A 25,293-nucleotide genomic window follows, 5' to 3' on the forward strand; every position below is an offset into this window, starting at 1 on the left:
TCACAGTTCGCGTGTGCCTTAATCCACCGCGGCCCGCCACGCGGCACAAGCGTGGTCTCGGAAGAGTTACCGCGAGATGATGGAGCCGCAGGCCTGCTGGGGCGGAGCGGCCTCAGGACACGCCCACAGCCTTTGCAGTAACTGGCTGACGCCCACCGCCTTCGCAATGATTGGCCGCTGGAGGTAGGCGGGATTTCCGGGCACGGCTTCCGGCGTCCTTCCCTCTCAGGGTAGCTCCAGCTGTCCCTCCCGCAGTTGGCCCTGTGGTGTTCCGAAGCCGGTTACGTACGCCTGAGGGCCAGGCGAACCTCAGGCTCTTTGTCCTACTAAAAAGCGCAGGTATTTTCTGTTTCTCTGGACAGCTGGGTCTCTCGGCAAGAATAGAAAGCGAAGGTTTGGGATTTTGTCTATAAAAGGGGATGGGTTTTCTATGTGTGGGTGTTGAATTACGGGAGGAGTCAGTGGGGAAAGAACTCCTCAGTGCTATTAAGAGACTCACTTTCGTTAAACTCATTGATTTTTCCTGAGGATTCTACCTTTAACTGCCTAATGTGTCCGACTAGTTGTGGGAGATGGTGCTAAGCCGCCATTGGTTTTCATGTGCACTTTTTATTAAAGCGGGTTTTCTCTGTGAATGTGGTGATAATTCAGAATACAGGCAATACACTTAACCACTGCGATTAAAAAGTCACACTTTTAGTTAGCACGTGTCGCGTGTCTGATTTGCTTGGAAGAATTATCAAATTTTGACATAAATTGTGTTACTTTAGTGTATGTAGAAATATGGGGCCACAAATAATCTGAGTTTCAGTTTGCCTCTGTAAAGCCTGTGATTGTCTCCTTCGTTGTATGACAGTATTTGAAACGTTTCATGTGTCTTTGGCACCGTAAATAGTTTAAACCGAATAAGTGGGTGTAATCGAGACAAATGGAGTTAGATAGCCGAAAACTGGAACAAAATAGATGCGCTTAAGTTATTCTGTTAACCTGGCACACTGCCTTACTCCTGTAGTCCTAGCATTTTGGGAAGTGGAGGTCGGAGGATGGCTTGAAGTCAGGAGTTTGAGACCAGCCTGGGTAACGTACTGGACTCTTTCATTGCTATTTTCGCATCAGGGACTGGTTTAGTGGAAGTCAGTTTTTCCTCAGACAAAGGTTGCGCAGGGGAAGAAGGCGGCGAGGTGGACAGGTTTGGGAGTGGGGGCTGGCGGCAGGCCTCCGAGGGGCACGTGGTGGGGCGGGTCTTCCGGTAGGAGCAATGTGACAGAGGCCAGGTGGGGCAGTGAGGCTGTCACGGGGACAGGGAGGGCCAGCGAGGGAGTAGGGAGGATGGTTTCCGGATAAAACTGTACCACCTCAGGTCATCCTCAGGCGTTACATTCTCCACAGACAGGTATTGCAGGTCATCCTCCGGCATCACATTCAGGCCACAGATAGGTACGGGTTGAAGGCTAGGGTTTGGGGATCTTTGACCTATTGTATATTTCAAATCACTAAAAGATGGTAAAATATTTAAAATATTCTCCTCCTAGAACATTTTAAGTAGCTTGATTTAATCTCTTATCCAAATATCATGCTGAGTGTGGTGAGTCACCCTTGAAATCCCATCACTTTGGTAGTCCCAAGCCGGCAGAACACTTGAGCCGAAGATTTGGAGACTAGCTTGGGCACTATGGGGAAACCCTTGTCTATTTTTAAAAATACAAAAAATTGCCCAGCTGTGGTAGAAAGCGCCTGTAGTACTAGCTACTTGGGAAGCTGAGATGTAGGAAGATCAGTTGAGGCTGGGTGGAAGAGCCTGCAGTGAGCAGTTCACTTTGGCGACAGGAGACAGACATCTCAAGAAAGAAAATATGCAAAACATCACACCGTACCTCATAAATAGATTCTTTTCAAATAAAATTATTTAAATGGGGACATTCTTCATATTGCAACTGAGGAAAATTACAATAGCTTTTCTTATCTAATTTTTAGAAATGAGATTTTTGTCAGGTACATACTAAAATGCAGCATTTGTCCATGAAGTTAGTGCCCCTTTGCTCTGAGTGTTACAAATTTTACATATATAAAGTAAGAAATACTAAAAAGATGTCAGCCTCAGGAAGGGAATTTTACTTGGGTTTTCAGCACAGTATGTAATAAAATTTTATCTTTTTAGCTTATTTATATCTAAATATAGATAATTTTTTACCATTTACAGCACAATGGTAGAAGCAGATCATCCTGGCAAGCTTTTCATTGGTGGCCTCAATAGAGAAACCAATGAGAAGATGCTTAAAGCAGTATTTGGGAAACATGGTCCCATATCAGAAGGTAACTCTTAAAACCGTGTGTGTGTGTGTGTGTGTGTGTGTGTGTGTGTGTGTGTATTTTCACATGTATATTTCAATAGGTATGTTTAAAATATGTATGTTATATATATATGTTTTGAAAAAATATATTTTTTCAAAGTTCATTGTATACCTACATTAAAATGCCTTATGCATTTTAAACTCTTATTTTGTAGTATCTGTTTGATATTTGGAAAATTCTCATAGTAGTAGGTTAAGGTTCTATGGAAAGGATAACCTACTACTTAGAAAGGAAAATGAGGGAAAGTAAATGTGCTGTGGAGTTCCGAAACAAACTGGAATAAACTAGACTGACTGTAGGGGTGATTGAGTATCGAGAACCATAATAGTGATGTGAAATGCAATTATTTTTTAGCTTGATGTAACCTTTAGATGGTGAGTACCTTGATGAGTCCATTATATGAATGTAAAATGTTTTCATATATTTTAGTTCTTTTGATAAAGGATCGAACCAGCAAATCCAGAGGCTTTGCATTTATTACTTTTGAGAACCCTGCAGATGCTAAGAATGCTGCGAAAGATATGAATGGAACGGTAAGAGTCCCTTATTACTAATATTCTAACTCTGTTCTTCAATTAACAATATTTCTAGGTCTTTTTAATATTGCTAAACTTTTGAAGATAGTAGAATGACATATGAAGCCATCCTCTTTTTTGTGCCATATACGTGCAAGTGTAGTTGGAAGGGTATTGGAATTAACATTATATAAATTAATATTTGGTAACCTTTTTCTATGTTTGTATTTCGATATGAGTGCACATAGATTTTAAAAGGTTTTGAAGAGCTTTAAAACTTATAAGGAACCCTCATGTAAATGAAAGTAATAAGTCAATATTTATTAAATGCTATTAATTGAAGTACATCCAATTCATGGAAATACTTTTAGAGCGTAGACAAACTGGATAGACATCTAGACAGATGCACAAGAAGGAAAGACTCTTTCCTTCTTGAAGAATATATTTTATGAAAATATATTCTTGCGAAAGTGTATTTAAATAAGACCTTTACATTTACGGAAAGGTTAAGTAGTTGAAAATAGAAAATAATATGAGAACATTGAAGTCAGATAACAGAAGAAGTAACTGGCATTCTTGGCTCCATGCTTGCTTTTTCTCCTAAGGACATTTCTTTCCTGTCACCAGAGTGATTTATGTAACATGAATAGCTAATTACTCATTTCCCCAGTGTGTTTGAGGACTTGTTTTGATTGAACCAATGGTCTCTTGTCCTGTTGAGTCTTAAATCTAGAGATTGTGTGTTTACTTAAGCTTTAAACTTCTGTGTAATGATATTAATTATTGAATTCCTTTACATTGTAGTCAAGAGCATTCCATTCTGTGCTCTTTAGTGTTTTTTGCTTTATAACATTATCCCAATCATGCCGGGCATGGTGGCTCATGCGTGTAATCCCAGCGCTTTGGGTGGCCAAGGCGGGCAGATCACAAGGTCAGGAGAAAGAAACCATAATGGCCAACATGGTGAAACCCTGTCGCTACTAAAATACAAAAAAAAAAATTAGCTGCATCTGGTTGTGTGTGCCTGTAGTTCCAGCTAGTCAGTAGGCTGAGGCAGGGGAATCGGTTAAACCCAAGGAGGCAGAGGTTGCAGTGAGCCGAGATCACGCCGATGCACTCCAGCCTGGCAACAGAGCAAGAATCCGTCTCAAAAAAACAAAAAATAAATAAAATAAATAAATAAATAACGTTATCCCAATCTGTTTTTAGGTCCTGTTAGTCTTCACGCTATTCCCAAAGTGCTTTTTTAGACTTCTTGAGAATTATCCTTCCCTGTGTATGCCTCATAAATAAAATTTATGCTTCAAAAACCACTTAGATTTCATAATTTTCTTCCTCATTGCGTATTGTAGGTATTTTCTACTTGCTGTACTATGTATTAATCTATTGATCGTGAAATTGTATATAGTGCATATTTAAGTCTTGCTAGTTGCTTTTCTTTCTGTTACATCTAGCACACTTCCTGTCACATAGCAGAAAGTACATTTTTATTCACCCTTATAAATTAGTATTTCAAGCTGTGGTAGAAACCGAGAGTTGCTTTTGGTTCATGGCTTTGTGGTAGGTATGGAGATAATTTTGACTTCTGTATAGGAATCTATGATAATTTCTTTTTTCCCTCTAGTTTTCAAGCAAAAGGGCAGATAATTTGTGTAAAGTTTTTGTTCGTTTGTTTGTTTTTTAAGATGGAGACTCGCTGTGTGCCCTAGGCTGGATTGCAGTGGGGCCATCTTGGCTTACTGCAACCTCCGCCTCCCGGGTTCAAGCGATTCTCCTGCCTCAGCCTCCCAGTACCAGGGGCTACAGAGGCGCGCCACCACGCCCAGCTAATTTTGTACTTTGAGTAGGGATGGGGTTTCACCCTGTTAGCCAGGGTGAGCTCTATCTCTTCACCTCATGATCCACCCGCCTTGGCCTCCCAAAGTATTGGGATTACCGGTGTGAGCCACCGCGCCCAGCCAACGTTATTTCTAAATTACTTCATCTCACGTATTTTATTGTGTTAAAATAACTATGAATGTTGTATGCACATTAATGTTAAGATGGCCAATAAAGGAGGTTCTTTGAGTTTTCAGGGGGAATTAACAGTTAAGGAATTTTGGCTGACTTCAGAACACTGGGAAGGAAGCAGCCGTGGGCAAATCTGGGGAAAATATTTTGAGCCCAGAAATAACAAAAGAAGTTTCAAGGTAGGAACAACGGGCGATGTGGCTGCAAGCGGTCTTGTTCAGGGATTTAAGTCCTTCCTCCAAATAACAAAAGCCATGTAATTTTTAAATCGCGTTATTAGCTGAACTGTTTTCAAAAATTGCTGTGGCCTGTAGAAAAGATTACAGTGAAAAATGTTATTATGAAATTAATTAGGATAGTTAAGCATTTCTGAGAAATTACCTGAAGTACTATATTAAGATTCGTTTTTTAGGGGCACGTCTAAGGCAATGTAAGAAATGAGTAAGGCAAGAAAACTTAATGAGATCAAACAAGGATCACATTTACAGAAACATTTTTAGAGTCAATATAGAATTGTAAATCATATGGGGACATTTTATGGAAGTGTTAGCAAATCCAACAAGAAACAACTCATAATGAGTAATGTGCCTAATCACTCTGAAAAAGTAAGCTCATTTTTTTTTTAAATGACACGAGTTTCATTGGGACACTGCAACTTTCAAATCAGTGATGTGACTACAAAGATGAAGTGGATTATATATTGTAAAAAACAGATGTGCCACATTCTTCCACAGAATGTGTGATGGGTCAAACTTTTTTTTTATGTTTGAGTTTTTTTTTTTTTTAATGATGGAGAAGTTTTCAAGGAATTTGAATAATAGAATTTGTGTTTGATCCCTTAATGGAAGGCATGTGCTCAGTAACTATCTCAAATTTGGCATTGCGAAAGATGTGTTCATTTTAGAAGAAAAAAAAAGTTTCCTTTTGGGAGAAAATACCTCAAATTGAACTACAGTTGATGTAAAAATGTTTGTAAAATGTGCTTACGTTAAATGTGCCAGTGTTATTGATAGTACCCTTAATACTTCTAGTCTTTGCATGGAAAAGCAATAAAAGTAGAACAAGCCAAGAAACCATCTTTTCAAAGTGGTGGTAGGCGGAGACCACCAGCTTCTTCGAGAAACAGAAGCCCTTCAGGAAGTCTGAGATCTGCAAGAGGAAGCAGTGGAGGAACAAGAGGGTGGCTTCCCTCACATGAAGGGCACCTGGGTAATGTTTTAAAATATAAAGATGGAACCATAGGACTGAAAGAAAATAAGTTTGACGATATTGAAATTTCTTAATTTTTTTCTTTCCTGTATGAAGAGAAAATTAGCTTATTGATAATAAGCAAACTTATTTCTAAGTACTATAAAGGTGTATTATAAGAATGATTGAACTAATATCTAAAATTTGTTTAACAATTATAATAAGTTTGCACTGAAGTAACACACATTTGAAACTGAGTTGTGTTTGTGAATGCTGATTGCCTGTACTCAACCGGTTTTCTGCAGAACTCATTTATATTCATTATACTTTAGAGTTTTCTACTTTAGGGCCCAGAACTTCGTGTCAGTTGTATTATCAAAGTACGATGTAATATTTAAAATTTTCCAACAGGAAGAAGTAACTGAATACTGAAGATTGATTTTGCAGTATTTGTTTTCTTGTGTCTACATGTGGAAACATCTATGCAAATGTATTGCTTTGTAATTTTGATACAGAGAGTTTGTACATTGGCCTGCCGTAAAGCATTTTCAATTTAAGAAATGTAGAACTTTAATTTCTGAAAAGAGTCTGTGACTCTGGAAAGATCTAAAAACCACTGCTTCACAGATATGTATGAATCTTTCTTTGCTGGAGGCTGAGTCACTGAAAATGATATTTATGAGTGATTTACTTAATAGAAATGAGGGGTCCATCTTTACATATAAAAGAAAAACAAACCATATATTTAAAAAAAAGGAAAAAGAAAAAACTATTGGATGGGCTGTGCGAGGTGGCTCACGCCTGTCACCTCAGCACCTGGGGAGTACAGGGGAGGTGGACCACGAGGTCAGGAGTTCCAGACCAGCCTGGCCAACATGGTGAAACCCTGTCTCTCCTAAAGATACAAAAAAATTTGCCTGGGCCTGGTGGCGTGCACCTGTAATCCCAGCTACTCAGGAGGCTGAGGCAGGAGAATCACAGGAACCTGGGAGGCAAAAGCTGCAGTGAGCCAAGGTTATGCCATGGCACTCCAGCCTGCGTGATAGGGCAAGAGTGCATCTGAATAAATAAATAAATAAACCTGTTGGTTAACTTGTATTATCTATTAACCAACCTTCAAAACTCTAACAATTAGCTTGGAGTTTTAATAACCAGACATGTAATTAATTGGAGATTGTTTTCAAGTTGAAATTGCAGTGTTTGCTCCATTTTAAGATGCGTAGCTTCACGGCTGTTTTGCCTCCACTGATCTTGAGGGTGAGCTTCAATTATACTCTGCCACGGACGAGAATGTATACATAAATTCTAACCTGTAACACCACCTGGCAATTGGCATATATCTACGTTTTTGTAGATGTATAAAAATATGTTTATATTACCGAATATGCAATTCTTAAAGACTGTTAAAATTCAGCATAGTCTCATCTGAAAATTAGTGTCTCATAAGGGAATTTTAAGAATTCTATATTGTGTTAACAAATTTTAGAGACAATGTATTTTCCTGATATGTGATTTCTTGGTATTGGAAATATTTGAGTTTCTTTGAATGGAAATTAGTTTATCTTTATGATGTGCTTTGAAAATTTTTCCTCATTACAGAATGATATAAACAGTCATTTATCATTTTTCTTTTAATATTTTTATGTATATTATATTTGGATATTTTAGTGATAGATTTCTGCCCCCGTTCACTCCCCATTTTCCCACATCTCTCCTTCATACCGATATATTATGATACTTGAGTTTCTTTCTAGATTTTCTAAATGAACTTTTAATGCTTGAAGTGTACTAATACCTTGTAGGAATGCTAATTTTATTAGTTTAGACAAAATGTGAATTTGTTATAAAATGTAGAAAATATTTGTAAACAACTAAAACTTAGCCATTTAAGAAACAGTGACGTCAGTTAACTAAAAAGATTTTGTTTGAAATACAGATGATGGTGGATACACTCCTGATCTCAAGATGAGTTATTCTAGGGGACTCATTCCAGTTAAAAGAGGTCCATCTTCAAGAAGTGGAGGTCCTCCTCCGAAAAAATCTGCTCCTTCTGCTGTGGCAAGAAGCAATAGTTGGATGGGAAGCCAAGGTAAATGCTGCCTGACAGAAAGACCGTAGTTTTTGTATGACTAAAAATGAGCCGTTTTACCTGAATGCTTAGCTTTAAGTTCATTGAACAAAAGAGAAGTGACACATACGTGAGCATAATTACTGATTGATAGCTTTTATTATAGTTTCTATCTCACTAGGTACATTTCAGATTTATGTTGAAGAAATACTTGAGCTTCTCATTGCAGATCAAAGAAGTGATTAGAGTGAGGCCAACGTTCCTTTTAATCCTGTGTTGGCTAGAAAATTCCCCTTAATTTTTCTAAAAGTTCCTAGCAGTATTCTTTGATGGTAGGCTTCTTGATCTAATTAATTCTTCCATTTCCTAAGTCCCCTGGTGTCCCATTCTAAAAATTGCTTGTTCGGTGACTTTGCTGGGTTGGAGTCTTGCTCTTACTAGGTGAGAGTGCACTATGTGAGATGACGGCTTACTGTAGCCTCAAATTTGTGAGATGACGGCTTACTATAGCCTCAAATTCCTGGGCTCAAGCAATTCTGCTGTTTCAGCCTCCCGAGTTTGTGCAACTACAGGCATGCAGCAGCACACCTAGCTACATTTTTTTCCCTATGTTTTTGTAGAGAGAGGATCTGACTACATTGTCAAAACTGATGTTAAAGCCCGGGGCTCAAGCGGTCCAGCTGCCTCAGCCTTCCACACTCACTCACAGTGTGAGCCGCTAAGCCTGGCCATCCAGCTTCTGAGACCTCAGTAATGCGTATGTGCAAGGCATACTCACTGCGTGCATGAAGATTCAAAAGAACTACAAGAGCATTTAGCAGACAAGGAGTCATTGGGCTTAAATATGATTTAAAAATAAATTTAAGGCTCGAGAGGTAGACACGTAGGAGTCCAAAATTCTTAAATTAAGTGGATATCACAGAAATGCAGAGTTGTGAAATATAGGTGTATGTAAATCAGTAATTGAGATTGTACCGGGATGTTTAAACATTAACACAAGATCCTTAGTGTAAGATTTGAAATTATTTGAGGAGAGAATTTAGAACTAAGCAACATGAGGTGAGCGGTAGGGTTGAATGCAAGTAATACTTTTGAGAAGAATTGTAAGACTGCAGACTGAACAGAAGAAAATAAGACAATAAATAAAAGTTCTTAGCAAGGAAGTTTAAGCAGAGCAAATTAAAATTCTTTCTTAGTCCTCCATCCGCATATGGAGGAAGTTAAAAACTGCCATTTTCAATTTTACATTTCATACGTAGAGTATCGGTGAAGGGAGGTATTTATTGGCTTCAGGATACCCAAGCCAACACATTTCCATTGGAAAATTAGCCAGTGAAGGTATCATATGTGAAACACTGACCTCTAAGGAATAGCAAGTGAAGAATATATTAGAGGAGAAACTTTCTATTTTGAAACAGCAACAATGTTGTAATGACCCCTTGCATAGCATTGCTTTCTTTGCAGTAAAAGCAAATCTTGACCATCATTAGAAAATCTTCACTAATACATTTTAATTTGTCAACATTTAAGATAGAGCCAACCAGCTAAAGAACTTTTATGTAAACATTTAGCATATAGTCATTTAAAGGTAGCTGTATTTATGTGTGTGTGAGATGGACTGAATGATATTGGAAAATCTACCTTCTTTGGCTGAGAAAGGACAATGTATGTAAACTTTAAAATCAGTGAAGAGTTTGATGGTTTTACGTGTTTTCCCTGTGTCACTCACAGTCATCAGTAATTTATATGGAAAGGAAAATAATAACTAAGTAGTTATTAACCATTACAAATGAACTTTTACCTAAGCATTAATGTTTGCCTTCAGCTTCATTAGAAGAACTGGCCTTGTGGGAGCCATGGGATTATCCAAAGCCATGAGAAATATTCACAGTGTCATGTCTGTCTAGTAATTTAGGAAACAAAGAATGGAGTCATAGAAGAAATAATTTTAAAAAGTTGTTTGAGAGAAGAGAAAATAGCGTTTCAGATTTGGTGTTCTTTACATAATGTTCCATCATTTGAATGTTAAAGGTCCCATGTCACAAAGAAGAGAGAATTATGGAGTTCCTCCACGCAGAGCGACAATATCTTCCTGGAGAAATGATCGCATGTCAACAAGACATGATGGTTATGCAACTAACGATGGGTAAAGGAAAAATTAAAAAGCACAGTTGATTTTTTTTTCCTGTGGTGATGAAATTCACATAACAAAATTAAATATTATAAGGTGAACAGTTAAGTGGTGTTTGATACATTCTGTGCCATGCAACAACTACCTCCATCGAGTTCCAGAACATTTTCATCACTCCAAATTAAAACTCCTACTACCAGTTAAGCAGTCCCTCCCGTTTTCTCCTTTTCCTCAGCTGCTAGATAACACCAGTCAGTGTTCTGCCTCTGAACTTACCTGTTGTGGGTATTTAACGTTAATGTGCTCAAACACTACATGACTTTTTGTATTTGTCTCCTCTCCTTTTGCATGATGTCCTGAAGGTTCATTTACATCATAGCACTTCACTCCTTCCACAAGCTATTAACCCATTATTTTATCTGCATTGTTTCCACCCGAGTATTTCTACGCACCAATATTCGTTTGAGTATGCTTATTCGGTTCTGGGTGTATATGAGTGGAATTGCATGGTCCTATGATAATGATGTTTGTTTTCTTGAGGAACCACCACATTTCTCCATAGTAGCTGCATCATTTCCCGTTCCAACCTAGCATTGTATCAGCATTCCAATTTATCTACATCCTCTCAAACACTTGTTATTTCCTGCTGTTTGAAATTTATTGCCATTCAAATGTGTGTTTGAAATATGATATCCCATTTTGGACTTGAAATGCATTTTCTGCACCCATTAACTCATCATGCACATGTATCCTAGAACTTAAAGTATAATGAAACAAAAAGAAATGCATTTTCTGAATCGCTGAATATGAGTATCAGTCCCGTGTGCTTTTTGGGCATTTGCCGATTTTATTTGGAGAAATATCTGTTTAGATGTTTGGCCTTTTAATTTTGTTTAAGTTGTAAGTTAGTCATGTATTGGATACTAGAAGTTGAAAATTTAAAATTTGTTGCTTAAACTTATGCACACAGAAATCATCCAAGTTGCCAAGAAACGAGGGATTATGCTCCACCATCTAGAGGCTATGCATACCGTGATAATGGTCATTCTAATCGGGATGAACATTCCTCTAGAGGATATAGGTACTGTAACTTTTTCTGGATTTGTGAAATAGATTTCTTAAATTGCTCATTCCAACTAACGTTCTGTCAGGGCTCCAATTTATCTACATCCTCTCAAACACTTGTTATTTCCTGCTTTTGAAAATTTATTGCCCTTCCAGTGTGTGCGTATGAAATATGATATCTCATTTTGGATTTGAAATGCATTTTCTGCACCCATTAACTCATCATGCACATGGACCCTAGAACTTAAAGTATAATAAAAAAAAAAGAAATGCGTCTTCTGAATCACTGAATATGAGTATCTGTCCCATGTGCATCTTGGGCATTTGCCCATTTTATTTGGAGAAATATCCATTGAGATGTTTGGCCTTTTAATTTTGTTTAAGTTGTAAGTTAGTCATATATCGGATACTAGAAGTTGAAAATTTAAAATTTGTTGCTTAAACTTATGCATACAGAAATCATCGAAGTTCCCGAGAAACTAGGGATTATGCTCCACCATCTAGAGGCCATGCATACCGTGATTATGGTCATTCTCGTCGGGATGAAAGTTATTCTAGAGGATACAGGTACTGTAACTTTTTGTGGATTTGTCAAATAGATTTCTTAAATTGTTCATTCCAACTAACATTGTATCAGGGCTCCAATTTATCTACATCCTCTCCAACACTTGTTATTTCCTGCTTTTGAAAATTTATTGCCATTCATCTGTGTGTGAAATATGATATCCCATTTTGGATTTGAAATGCATTTTCTGCACCCATTAACTCATCATGCACATGGACCCTAGAACTTAAAGTATAATAAAAAAAAGAAATGCATTTTCTGAATCACTGAATATGAGTATCTGTCCCATGTGCTTTTTGGGCGTTTGCCCATTTTATTTGGAGAAATATCTATTTAGATGTTTGGCCTTTTAATTTTGTTTAAGTTGTAAGTTAGTCATATATCGGATACTACAAGTTGAAAATTTAAAATTTGTTGCTTAAACTTATGCATACAGAAATCATCGAAGTTCCCGAGAAACTAGGGAGTATGCTCCACCATCTAGAGGCCATGGATACCGTGATTATGGTCATTCTCGTCGACATGAAAGTTATTCTAGAGGATATAGGTACTGTAATTTTTCTGGATTTGTCAAATAGATTTCTTAAATTGTTCATTCCAACTAACATTGTATCAGGGCTCCAATTTATCTACATCCTCTCAAACACTTGTTATTTCCTGCTTTTGAAAATCTATTGCCATTCATCTGTGTGTGTGAAATATGATATCTCATTTTGGATTTGAAATGCATTTTCTGCACCCATTAACTCATCATGCACATGTATGCTAGAACTTAAAGTATAATAAAACAAAAAGAAATGCATTTTCTGAATCACTGAATATGAGTATCTGTCACTTGTCCTTTTTGGGCATTTGCCTATTTTATTTGGAGAAATACCTATTTAGATGTTTGGCCTTTTAATTTAAAGTTGTAAGTTAGTCATGTATTCGATACTAGAAGATGAAAATTTAAAATTTGTTGCTTAAACTTATGCACACACAAATCATCCAAGTTCCCGAGAAACTAGGGATTATGCTCCACCATCTAGAGGCTAGGCATACTGAGACTATGGTCATTCTAGGCAGGATGAACATTCCTCTAGAGGATATAGATACTGTAACTTTTTCTGGATTTATCAAATAGATTTCTTAAATTGTTCATTCCAACTAACATTGTATCAGGGCTGCAATTTATCTACATCCTCTCAAACACTTGTTATTTCCTGCTTTTGTAAGTTTTTTGCCCTTCCAGTGTGTGTGTGTGTGAAGTGTGGAAGCTCCTTTTTTATTTGAAATGCATTTCCTGAATCACTGATTATGAGTATCTGTTTCATGTGCTTTTTGGGCATTTGGGCATTTTGGGCATTTGGGCTCTGTGGGCATTTTATTTAGATGTTTGGCAATTTAATTGTGTTTAAGTTGTAATGTAGTTATGTTTTGGATACTAGAAGGTGACAATTTAAAATTCCTTGCTTCAACTCGTGCACGCAGAAATCATCCAAGTTCCCGAGAAACCAGGGATTATGCTCCACCACATAGAGACTATGCATACCGTGATTATGGTCATTCTAGTTGGGATGAACATTCCTCTAGAGGATATAGGTACTAACATGTTATCTGGATTTATCAAATGGATTTCTTAAATTGTTCATTCTGAAATTGAAAAGACTTTTTTTTTTTCAATTTAGTTATCATGATGGCTACGGTGAGGCCCTTGGTAGAGATCATTCTGAACATCTAAGTGGAAGTTCTTATAGAGATGCACTTCAGAGATACGGTAAGGGTCCAGGATGGATTTGTAAATTACAGAATTTTATTTAATAGACCAGATTGTTATTTTAATGAAATTCTAAGGAAAATTGTAAAGGGCATATGCAACATGTTTAAATATTGAGTATTCTTAACAGTATAAAGCCTAGGGAATGATATGAAGGTGAGAACTTCAGTTAACGTTAAGAAAATGTGACTGAGCATTTACTTTAGAATTAAGTTTGTTAAGCTGCAAAATACTACTCTTACACTTCTCTTAAATAAAACCTTCTGACTATTAAAGACTTGATTAATATCCTGTCAACAAAGGCGGAGGAAAGCAGATATTTCCAAATAGTACTTTAACTAATTCATGCTTTAATGATAGCAGTAAAAATGTTTAAATGTAGTCCCACATATTATTTTACCAACCCTGCAGGGACCTCTCATGGTGCACCACCTGCAAGAGGGCCTCGGATGTCTTATGGTGGAAGCACCTGCCACGCATATAGTAATACACGAGATAGATATGGCAGAAGTTGGGAGAGTTACTCGAGCTGTGGTGATTTTCATTATTGTGATCGTGAGCATGTTTGCAGAAAAGACCAAAGGAATCCGCCTTCTCTGGGTAGGGTGCTCCCTGATCCTCGTGAAGCATATGGTAGCTCAAGTTATGTGGCATCTATAGTAGATGGTGGGGAGAGTCGATCTGAAAAAGGAGACTCGAGCAGATATTAAAGCAAGCATTGAAAATAATAGTTATTGCATACCAATCCTTGTTTGCAAATCAAAAATTGAAATGTTATTTCTGCATTGTTACCTGCATATTACTGAAAGAAACATGTTGGTTTTGTGGAGAGAGGTAGATACTAACTTCCTCCATGAATTTTTTGAGGTATTCAAAGGAAAAGGAATTGTTTTCAAAGTAATTTCATACTTGTTGATGCTATTTGAAAAGTGTTTAGATGTAATATCTACCTTAAAATTTTCACAATAAAATTTTACATGTACTGCAAGATGCCTGGTGTTATTGTTAGCCGCGCATGCTTAAAGCAAATTCAATAGGAGAGTAAATTGTGTAGTCTGTTGTACATTTTCCTTTGTTTGTTTGAACATAGGTACAAAATTAGGGATGTGTTATGTCGCCCTTGCAAGCTGCTCAAGTTTTCTAATTAGGCTGTTTCTCTTTAAAAACTAACAAGGTTAAAATGTTGGAGAAGTCTTCAGAAAGACTACAAAACCGTCTGCCTCACCATAAAACGTTTATTTTTTAGAGGAATAGTACAGGTCAAAGGAAATCATTAGATGTATTGATACTAAAGTTTAAGACATCCGGAACATTCTATGTGAAGCATTCTGTGACTGAAGAGGATAACGGTAATGAAAACTTTTTTTTTTCACCTAAATCAGAAGTGAACCAGCTAAGTTTCTCAGGCGCGTAGCATAATGAATTTAAATGTTCGTAGTTTGAATAGTGGAAAGTAAGTGTTTTGTCTTGTGAGGTTCCCACGTTAATTTTTTCTTGAATATTTTGACAGTGGATGTTGTAAGTAATGGTTTAGTAATATGTTCTTACAGATAGGAATAATCTAGAGTGGTTGGGATAGTATCAGTTTTTTTTGAGATGAAGTGTACAGCTTTGTCGCCGAGGCTGGGGTGCAGTGGCTCTGTCTTGGCTTATGGCAACCGCTGCCTTCTGGATCCAAGCTATTCTCCTGCCTCAGCATCCTGAGTAACTGGTATTAGATATGTGTGCCGCACAGCGGGGCCAATTTTTGTATTTTTAGTGCAGACAGCGTTTCACCTTGTTTGCCAGGCTGTTCTTAAAATCCTGATCCACCCTCCTCAGACTCCCGAAGTGCTAAGATTATAGGCATGTGCCACCACTGTCAGCCTATCGTATTTAATTGATAATATGAATGGAAACGCTTTAAACCTCATACTTAGGGGAAAGTGAAGTGTATAAAACATAAACAACAGCATAAAGTTTCCGACGGGATTGCTTAAAGTTTTAAGACATCACTGAATGATACAAATATTTAGACCGAAATAACTAAATGAATTAATTTTCCTGATTATACAAACTAAAGAAATGAAATACATCAAGTTCCAGAAGTTTTGCAGTCCATAATTCTTACAATTGACAGACTAATCTGCAAGGAGGAAGTATTTTCTTGAAAAATTTTGACACAATCATCAATTTTTACAGGGTAAGGGTACAAATAATTTTAAAGGGAGAAGTTACCAACTTTGATTTTCAAGTGAGTTATTCATGTTATGGAGTGTTTTCATTCACCTGTAGCATTGTGAGGATGAAGTGAAAAGATAAATCTCCCGAGTCTTGTGTATCTTACTGTCCATGTGTGACGGCTCAGGTCTCTAATTCTAACACTTGGGGAGGCCGAGGCTTGCAGAGCACTTTAGGACAGGAGTTGAAGACCAGGCTGGCCAACACCATGAAACCCCATCTCTACCAAAAATACAAAAATTAGCCGGGCATGGTGGTGCCTGCCTGTAGTACGTTGCAGTTAATTGGGAGGCTCAGGCAGGACAGTGGTTTGAACCTGGGAGCCTGATGCTGCGGTGAGCCGATATTGCACCATGCACTCTAGCCTGGGTGACAGAGTGCGACTCCAACACAAAAATAATTATATCAATGAACAAATATATACATAATAAATAGGGTATCCTTCAGTTCAAGCACTTACCGATTCTTTTTTCTTTTTTAGAGACAAGGTCTCACACTGTTGTCCAGCCTAGACTGCAGTGGCACCATCATAGCTCACTGCAGCTTTGAACACGGGCTTGAAATGTGCAAGCCTTCCATTTCAGCCTCCCAAGTAGCTGGAATTACAGACACACACCAACCACCGTGCCCAGCTTTTGTGTTTGTGTGTGTGTGGTAGGGACAATGCTTTGGATATATTGTTCAGGCTGGTCTCAAACTCCCAGACCGAAATAATCCTCCTTCCCTGGCTTCCCAAAGTGTTGTGATTATAGCCGTGAGCCACTGAGTCTGGCATATCTTTTCTCATTATGAGCGACATTCCACCTCACTGAGTCTGGCGTATCTTTTCTTGGTATCAGCGACATTCCACCTTCGCTCTATTAATTATTTTGAGATGTACAATAAATCATTATTAAGTGTAGTCATCCTGTGCCACTGAACACTAGATATTATTCCTTCTAAGCAAGTATAATTTAACCCACCCCCATCCCCTCTTTGATCCCTCGCTTACCAGTTCACATTACTTGTATCAAAATATCACATGTATGCCAAAAGTATCTACAACTGTTAGGTACAAATTTTCATTCCCTTCCTCCTTCCCTCCCTTCCTTTCTTCCTTCCTGTCTTTCTTTCTTTTTGTCTCTGTATCTTTTTCTCTCACTGATTTTTTTTTTTTTTAAGAAAGAATCCTGCCCTGTCACCTAGGCTGGAGTGCAGTGGCGTGATCTCAGCTCACTGCTCCCTCCTTATCACGGGTTCAAGCAATTGTCCAGTCACACCCTCCTAAGCAGCTGCGACTGCAATCATGTGACACCAATCCTGGCAAATATTTTGTATTTTCAGTAGAGACCAGGTTTCACAATATTTGCTCAGGCTGGTCTTGAATTCCTTTCCTTTAGTGATCCACCCACATCAGCCTCTCAAAATGCTGGGATCCAGGCATGAGCCACAGTGCCCACCCAGTGGTATGCATTTCTCTCTCCCGTGATCTCTCCTATTTTATTATTTTATTCTCTTTTTATTTCTGAGACAGCGTCTCGCTCTGGTGCCCAGGCTGGAGCACAGTGGTGTGATCTCACTTTACTGCAAACTCCATCACCAGGGTTCAATGGATTCTCCTGCATCAGCCTTCCAAGTAGCTGGGATAACATCCACGGGCCACCAAGCTTGGCTAGCTTTGGTATGATACTAGACGTGGCATCTTGTCATGTCTAATTTCGTATCTGTTTTAAAGCTCGATTGATAAGCAATATTGACTTCCTGGAATGTTTTATGTTTACAAAACAATTATAGTACTACTATTTAGCCTCCTCAGATAAAATATGGTAACACACAAAGCATACACACACAGACAAAGACACAGTCAGTGATCAAAAAAAATCAGTGTAGGCCACGACCTAAATGAAAGGTGAGCTGCTGCAGTTGCCTAGAATTAAAGCAGACCAGAGTTGACCCATACCAGGCTGAGAGATGTGAACAGAGGCTTTCCAACAACTCTATCAGATACATGTTAGATTATTCTCCAGCCATAGCGAAGGGACATTAAAGATCTGTTGTGCTTAGAAGAGTCTCGATGATTTGACTTTTCCAGGGTATTAGCATTCATGATGTTGGCCTTTACAGCTCTCTGCAATGAAGTCAGTAGACAACACAGTTTTTCTAGGAGTCTAAAGTGCTTTTCAGAATTATCTAAAACTTAGTGGCTTAAAACCATAATTATAATTTACTAACTGTCAGTCTCTGCAATCGCCCTCAGTCTCTCAGCCAAATGAATGTGGTTCAGGGGCACTCAGGAGTTTACAATCTAGTGACGGCTCAGGATGGGGACATTGTCAGGTGTCTTCTCATCTCCCTGGTGCCATAGCTAGCATAACTCAAATTGTGGGGCTGGACTGCTGAGATTCTTGGGCATCTCCTTCTATTTCTATGCATCTCTCCATGGGATGTCCCTACTGCATAGTGTTATCAGGGTGTTAGACTTCATAATGTCCTGGTCCATGGCTTCCAAGGGGTTTGTCCCCATGAGAGCAGGAGACTTAGGCAGAGCTGTATCACCTTGTCTAACCTAGGCCAGAGGTGGCCCAGTATCCAGAAAATGCTTTCACTGTTTTCTATTAATTAGAAGCAAGTACTGTGTTCAGTTACATCAGGAATAATTTCAAATTGGTTTGTGAAGAATTTCAAAGTGTATTTTAGACCACTACTGTGGCCATGCCTAATAATTACTTATTTTTTTAAGTGCTGGATGGGTTTTACCCAACGTAATAGCTGATACAGACTTTTAACCTTGAAACCTTTATGTAATAGCTCCAAACATTTGGTTATATGTTGAAATAACTCTCAAGCAAAAATTGATTTTGAAATTAGAGCTACAAATCTATAAAACAAATGAGATAATGTCATAAATATCTGCATGAAATGCTTATAAAGAGATCAGCCTTAAAAATATTATGAAGTCTAATATGCCACTCTTTTACTATTTCTATGGCTATTACTTGGACAGGAGGACAAGGACTCAGGGGTCTGCTGGTCAGTCTCTGGACCTTGAAACAGTGGCTGGGGCCCCAGGAGTAACACTTCGGGCCATACCATGTAGTGAGGATGAGGAGTCCACCTGGGTTAAGGGGAGTGTCACTATATATATCGCTATATGAATATATATATATATATGTACACACACATATATAAAACACTATATCAGAAACTCAGTAGTCATAGTAAAATCAAAAAATAATCATAGTCAATTTGATCTCATACCTAGACTGAAATATGAAACTTCAAAAGAAAAGAAAGTTAAGAACTTTGGGCTTGTCAAAATTTTCCTACATAGATACAATTATTGGTGACTTTCTTTCACTAGAAAACATAAACAAACATCCATGTTTTGTATATGTGTAAATGAAAATATTTTTATTTCTATCAGTTGTGACATGCAAGCAAGTAATAAAGTGAAAGTACAATAATAAATCATAAAATTATATAAGGACATTTCTGTGTCAAAAAATTCCATTGAGACTATTAATTTTATAAAACCATAGAGAATGCTTCATGAAACTACATTAAATAGTACTTTTTAGTATTTCACTTAATTTTAAAAGTCAACAAATTAAAGGAAATTCTGAATCATTATTTCTTACCAATATCATTATTCTACTCAACAAATTCTTTTGAGATTAAATATTTTAAATAAAACATTAAAAACAAATTGTATTCACTGATACCAGCTTTTGATGAAATAATACTTCTGTATTTGTAATCATGTGAAATATATCTTTCTCCTCACAATGGATCTTTTATAACACCAGTGTTATTATTTTCTCTGATAAAAACCCTGTGATACCTCAGGGCTTTACTGTGTCCATACATTACATGCCTCCAGAGAGTAGGCTTCAAACAGATGGAAAAATTATATTTGTGACAAAATTCTAGGAAAGGGAATGATAAAATGGGAGAATAATTTCTAAATTTCTAACTGTTCATCAATGGATTTGGATATATTTAGATATAGACAAATATATGCACACTGCAAGTTTGCACATGTGTATATAAATTTATATGAGATACCCATAACGTGTGGGTTGTATAATCTTTTAATTAATTCTCAATTTTACATGTGGAAAACTTGATTAAGTGTTTACCCTCATCAAATACTCAGTTTGAAGTACTATACTCAATTTGATGTAAAGCCAGCAAAATCTCTGCCAACATTCATTTCAATTAATCCAATAATGTTAACTGTTGATAACTTCATTCTCCTTGTCCCCTGTTAACAGCTGAAAGTTGATTCTCACCCTAATTCAGCAATCAGGGTGTCATCCTCAAGAGACTATCACCTTGCTTTGGATTGTGACCTCTGACTCCACCACTTTCATCCTATAGCAGTCCTACCTTTGTGTATTTAATCAACTTTGTACATGGTTAAAAAAATAAAAGTGCAGTGAAATGTCAGGCCATGCTGTGAAATGTTCCAGTGTTTCTATATCTCAAATTGACCTTTCATGTTATAGAAGATAAGAAAAACAATTCATTTCTTAGTATTCAGTCCAATGCACCCTTTCTTATTAATATGCCAAACCTGTCCCTTCAAGGCACTGACATCCAAGCACAGCTAGACGTATCAAAATTTATTCTCAACAATAACCATTATGTTAATAACTGTTGCCCAGATCTGGACCCTGCCTGTGAAATCTTTGGTTAGAAGTTGCTATAATGGCTCAAGCTAGGGGAATGACTATTTTTTTTGGCATAATTACTGCTGTCATCTTACTGAAAAAATATCACATTAGATGACAGCTTTTAGTTAGATCAATTCTGTTGATTCATTTTTAATGTCTATCATTTATGATATTGCACAAGTAAAGATCTTTGATAACTTAAATGGTTAACTGAGAAATGACTAAAATAACTCACAGCAATTCAAACATTCATTTACTTACTAGAAGTGCCATACATCATTAACTTCAGATGAAAACAAAGTTGGGAAATTGTGAGTGCTAAATTGCTTACTAAAGTATGTATTTCAGGGTATTTTATAAAACTATCCATGCCACGTATGATGCTTCACCAGCAAGGATAAAGCTTTAGCCTATATAAAAAATAGTCTTTGGTTCTTAATACATCTGTACATTTGTCTCCATAGCCTCAAAACAAGTCACCCATGTACTTGACTTTCAGCTGAGTTGACTACCAGTTATTAGGATTTAAGCAAACAGAATAAAGATTTCAAAATCTGGTGACCAAATATGAGAAATCACACTCTCACCATAAGTAATAATTATTCTCAAGTGCCACTGCAAATGCAAAACTGAAAGAAGAAATTAAGTCTAATATATTGCAATATTCTAAAATCTAAAATTTCCTCTTTGAGGTCTGGTTGTTCATGCCTGGAATTGCAGCTCTCTGGGAGGCTTAGAAGGGAGGACTGCTTCAAACCCAGAGTTTGACAGCAGCATAGGCAACACAGCAAGAACCATTTTTAAAATGTAACTAAATATTTAATTAGTTAAATTGGGCATGATGGCACACATCTGTTGTTCCACTTAGGAGTTCACAGTTGTAGTTTGCTGTTATCACACACTGCATTTCAGCCTGGGCCATGAGGCAAGACTTTGTCTCTACAAAATAATTCAATATAAAAAACAAAATAAATTAAAATAAAAACACTTTCAGGTGTTTTTTGGAAGTTTGTATAATTGCTCTAAAAGTAGAGACATTGTTTAAAGTTGAGCAGTCAATGGGGGAGTGGAGAGTGATTGTTTATATTGTTTTCCAGAAATTAGGATGAATGTATTATAATGTTATATATAAATATCTAATAACCTTTTGTGCAATAAATGTTGACAAATGTCAAGCCATTGTGTTTATAGACTTTTCCTTCAAAATATTCATAGTTTAATTGGAGAATGAAGAAAACAGCCATAATTGGAATGTACTCTGGCAAGTGTTACAATATATACAATTTAGTAACTTAGTTGCAGAGGAAGGAAGTTCTTAACTGCGTTAACAGGGGTGTGGAGAACCTTAGGGAAGGAACAATTGATCGCATCTGTAAGGATACAAATTTTCGAGAAGAATGTTTGCGAGAAAACGTTGTAGAGAAAAAAGAAACATTCTTTCTATCAATGATAGAAGTACCAACAGTGCATATGATGCCATCTGCCGAATGCTTAGAGCATTCTAGCTCAATAAATATTTCTTGAATGAATCCATGAATGGAAGATATTGGGAAAAGGCTTCTGGAAGGGATCATTAAAATCCTATAAAGGGAAGGTAAATACCCTGGACTTTACAATTTTGCCTGCTTTTGTTTATGATCTTTTTATGTTTACTACCTCACAAGCTGTTTTACTTTTTGGTCTTTTCACGAATATCATGAATGAATCATTCCTGAGAGTAATTCTCTCTTTATCTCCTGACACTGTATTTGTCTCTAATACTCCTTTGTGGGAGGCCCTGGGTTTGCATGCCCACAGCTATATCACTCCCTTCTCCCTGGCACTGTTCTGTAATAGAGAGAGGCCTGGCCCCAGGAAGGCATGGTTCCTAGGCTCCTATAAAAATTACTTCTTGTTTCAGTTCAGTCAAGGGGTGACACTGCAGAGATTAGAGAACAAGAAGATATGAGAAGTCAGTTTGTTTCCTTCTCTTTCTCAATAAGGGATATGTTTCTGCAGTGATTCCATGCCTACAGGACATGCTCTCTCTGTTTTCATTTTCCATATAGTGACCCTAATCCCAGACTGGCTCTTCAAATGCCATTTTCTCCAGTTGTCATCTGTAAAGGATTTGGGTACTATTTTGGAGTTTTAAATTTAAAAAATATTGATATGGAAGAGGGGCAGAGAAGTGCCTGGTAGAGAAGGCTGTGGTTCTTGGCTAGGGCTCCACCATCAGGCCTGTGCTCACTGACTTAGTTGAAGACACGCACCTCTGTTTTCTTGCCTAAATTGGTGAGGACATGTGTTTCTGGGTTTTTTTGCACAAGTGTTGCATTTTCCAAGACCACCCTCGCCTGCCATACTCCCATCCTGTTCTATAAGAAATCCTGAGACGCTAGCAGGGAGATACACAGCAGCTGGACTTTTAGAGGAATGATCACCAGAAGAAGACACAACATCTGGACCTGGAGAGGACACCAGAGAAAGGAGAGCACAAGGACTGAGGCTGCAGGCCATCCACTGCAGAAGAACACGAAGTTTCATGGGGCTGTGGGAGGAGAGCACTGAGCTGCCCCATTCCGAGAGAAAACCACCTTCCCATTCCATCTCCATTCTGGCTCCCCATCGATTTTCTGAACACTTCCAATCAATGAAAACTTGCACTTATTCTCCAAACCCACATGGGAGCCAATTCTTCAGGTACACCAAGGCAGGTAATCCCAGGATCCAGAAAGCCCTCTGTCTTTGCAGTAAGGCTGGATGTCTAATTGAACTAACACTAGTAGTCTACAGATGGATGAACTAAATTAACACCGTGCAACACATGCCCGCTAGGGATTCAGGAGCTGTATGCATTCACCCCTAGATGCTGCCTAGGGTCAGAGCCCCGCAACCTGTCCTCACTGATCGCCCAGCTGCAGGTAATAAGAGAGGTTTTCCCATTTTAATGAGTCTGCTTCCAATGCAGTGTGCTTTCTACAATACTGCAGTGTTACCTTATTGCATATATTTGACAAAGTAAGTTACAAACTATAACTAATCTGAGAAGAAAATAAATGGTGAAGAATAAGGAAGAAAAATGAAGCATTGTGTCTCACAATGAATACAAACAACTATAAGAATAATTAATCAATACATGAGTCTAGCCAAGCAGGTGATTAATGTCATGGGGAGGCACTCTCCATCATCTTGGGATTTCATTCTGGGACAGAGAGTGTGAACAGCTATAAGGTCAGATAGAAAAGAGGATAGAACCTGGTGAGGTGTGGATTGTATCCCGCATGTTCACCTGCAAAAAAGATGAAGACAGATGACACAGAAGTTGCTTCCAACTGAATCCCCACATCCCCTTAATTGCACAAGCAGTGCACACCAAGGTCCAGTGTTCAAGTGTGAATTCTCCAACGTGCCGTGAACCTGTGGAGTGCAAACCTAGGGGTTTGCACTTTGAGGGCTTTCATACACTGGGCCAAATGGGAGTAGGATGGATTGATGCTGTGTGGGATGTGGCCTCCACAGTTGCCTCTTTTTTTTTTTTTTTTTTTTTGGCTTCCATCTTCCTCATCAAATTAGGGTTTGCTTGGTCTTACTCACCGTCTTGCCCTTCAGCAGCACTACTGGACATACTTTTCAGGATTGCCATCGCCAAGCCTTTTGGTGGTGTGTCTGTGTGGCTCTGCTTGGGATGTGGGGATCTGTGTTCTTTATTTTTCTGTGGATCATGAAGTCACAGTGAATTGGGAGGCATGTGTACAAATCACCTCCCCCTGCAAAAAAATTCAGTCTTTTAGAAAGAAGAGGAGCACACCACACCAAAAAACTGGCATCTTCTAGTGTTTCATTGTCCTGCAGCCAAACCAGGGAGAGCCCCTGCAGTCCTATCCCATGGGCCCCATGAATTTACCTTGAATTCAGTTCCCAGCTGAATAGGTGATTCATGTCTTAAAGGAAAACTCCTCCAGCGTCTTGGGATTTCATCCTGGGACATAGAGTATGAGCAGAAATGAGGTTAGAAAGGGGTAATGATACAATGTGGTGAGGGCTGGATGGGGTCCCCCAATTTCACCTGCAAAAAATGAAGACATTACACAGAAGTGTTTCCAATTCCATTTTCACATTCCACTAATTGCACAAGTAGTCCACATCATGGCACGGTGTTCAGGTCAGAGTACTCCAATGTGCAAGGAATATTTGGAGTGCAAATAGGGGCCATGCTGGCAAACTCCCGATTTGAGGACCTTCACGCCTGGAGCTAAATGGAAGATGAATGTATTGATGCTGGGTGGGATGTGGCCTCCATGCATGCCTCTTCTTTTCCTGAGTTCCATGTTACTCATCAGTTTAGGGTTTCCTGGGTCTGGCTTGGCCTCTTCCACACTAAACATTTCCCAGTTCACAGAGAATGACCCTCATGGGAATCCATTGCATGAGAATTTCCTTCTAAACACTGTCATGTTTTAATGACAGGGCAGCTTTGATACTTCTCCTACTTCTATTGGAGGGATGCATGATTCCTGTAGAGTGAGAAGCAGGCAGCCGTGTCTGGCTTTTGCCTGATAATATAGCCTCTGTTTCATTTTGTCTGCCTGGCCTTCTTATAGTGGAGGGGTTCTTTCATTGGGCTGTTGTTGGATGGAAGAGCCTCTTGCCACAGATTATGTAGCTATTGGGAATTTCAGAGAGCAAAAGGGACATCGGCTAGTCTGGCTGCTCTGCAGGTTGTGGGTCATTGTCTCATTGTGGGGACTGTGATTGTTTGCACTTTACAGGGGGCTTTTGGTTCCTC

The 25,293-nt window shown here is 38.2% G+C and overlaps 1 protein-coding gene across 4 annotated transcripts; it reads left to right on the forward strand.

Annotated features, from left to right (window-relative positions):
• Nucleotides 1-166: 166 nt before the first annotated feature.
• RBMY1J (RNA binding motif protein Y-linked family 1 member J) lies at nucleotides 167-21,627 on the forward strand. 4 transcript variants are annotated; one of them, XM_047442739.1, is made up of 13 exons: nucleotides 167-339; nucleotides 2,201-2,313; nucleotides 2,782-2,885; nucleotides 5,909-6,086; nucleotides 8,002-8,154; nucleotides 10,165-10,279; nucleotides 11,235-11,345; nucleotides 11,786-11,896; nucleotides 12,331-12,441; nucleotides 13,365-13,475; nucleotides 13,562-13,650; nucleotides 17,384-17,530; nucleotides 20,124-21,627. In XM_047442739.1, exons 2-13 carry the CDS (start codon nucleotides 2,205-2,207, stop codon nucleotides 20,132-20,134), a joined length of 1,350 nt encoding a protein of 449 aa, XP_047298695.1. In that variant the 5' UTR covers nucleotides 167-339; nucleotides 2,201-2,204; the 3' UTR covers nucleotides 20,135-21,627. The 4 variants fall into 4 exon arrangements, with proteins under 4 accessions (XP_047298695.1, NP_001006117.2, XP_011529802.1 ...); NM_001006117.4 differs by lacking the exons at nucleotides 17,384-17,530; nucleotides 20,124-21,627 and adding an exon at nucleotides 14,062-14,638; XM_011531500.2 differs by lacking the exons at nucleotides 13,365-13,475; nucleotides 17,384-17,530; nucleotides 20,124-21,627 and adding an exon at nucleotides 14,062-14,638.
• The last annotated feature ends 3,666 nt before the right edge of the window (nucleotides 21,628-25,293 follow it).

Source organism: Homo sapiens, chromosome Y (assembly GCF_000001405.40).
Source record: "Homo sapiens chromosome Y, GRCh38.p14 Primary Assembly".
In the NCBI taxonomy this organism is placed as follows: domain Eukaryota; kingdom Metazoa; phylum Chordata; class Mammalia; order Primates; family Hominidae; genus Homo; species Homo sapiens.

Bases quoted from the DNA above. Each gene is read 5' to 3' on its own strand.
- RBMY1J (NM_001006117.4), top strand. From the start codon at position 2,205: ATGGTAGAAGCAGATCATCCTGGCAAGCTTTTCATTGGTGGCCTCAAT. The intron at 10,280-11,234 runs GTAAAGGAAAAA...TTATGCACACAG, and splicing joins GGTTATGCAACTAACGATGG to AAATCATCCAAGTTGCCAAG. The intron at 12,442-13,364 runs GTACTGTAATTT...TCGTGCACGCAG, and splicing joins AGTTATTCTAGAGGATATAG to AAATCATCCAAGTTCCCGAG.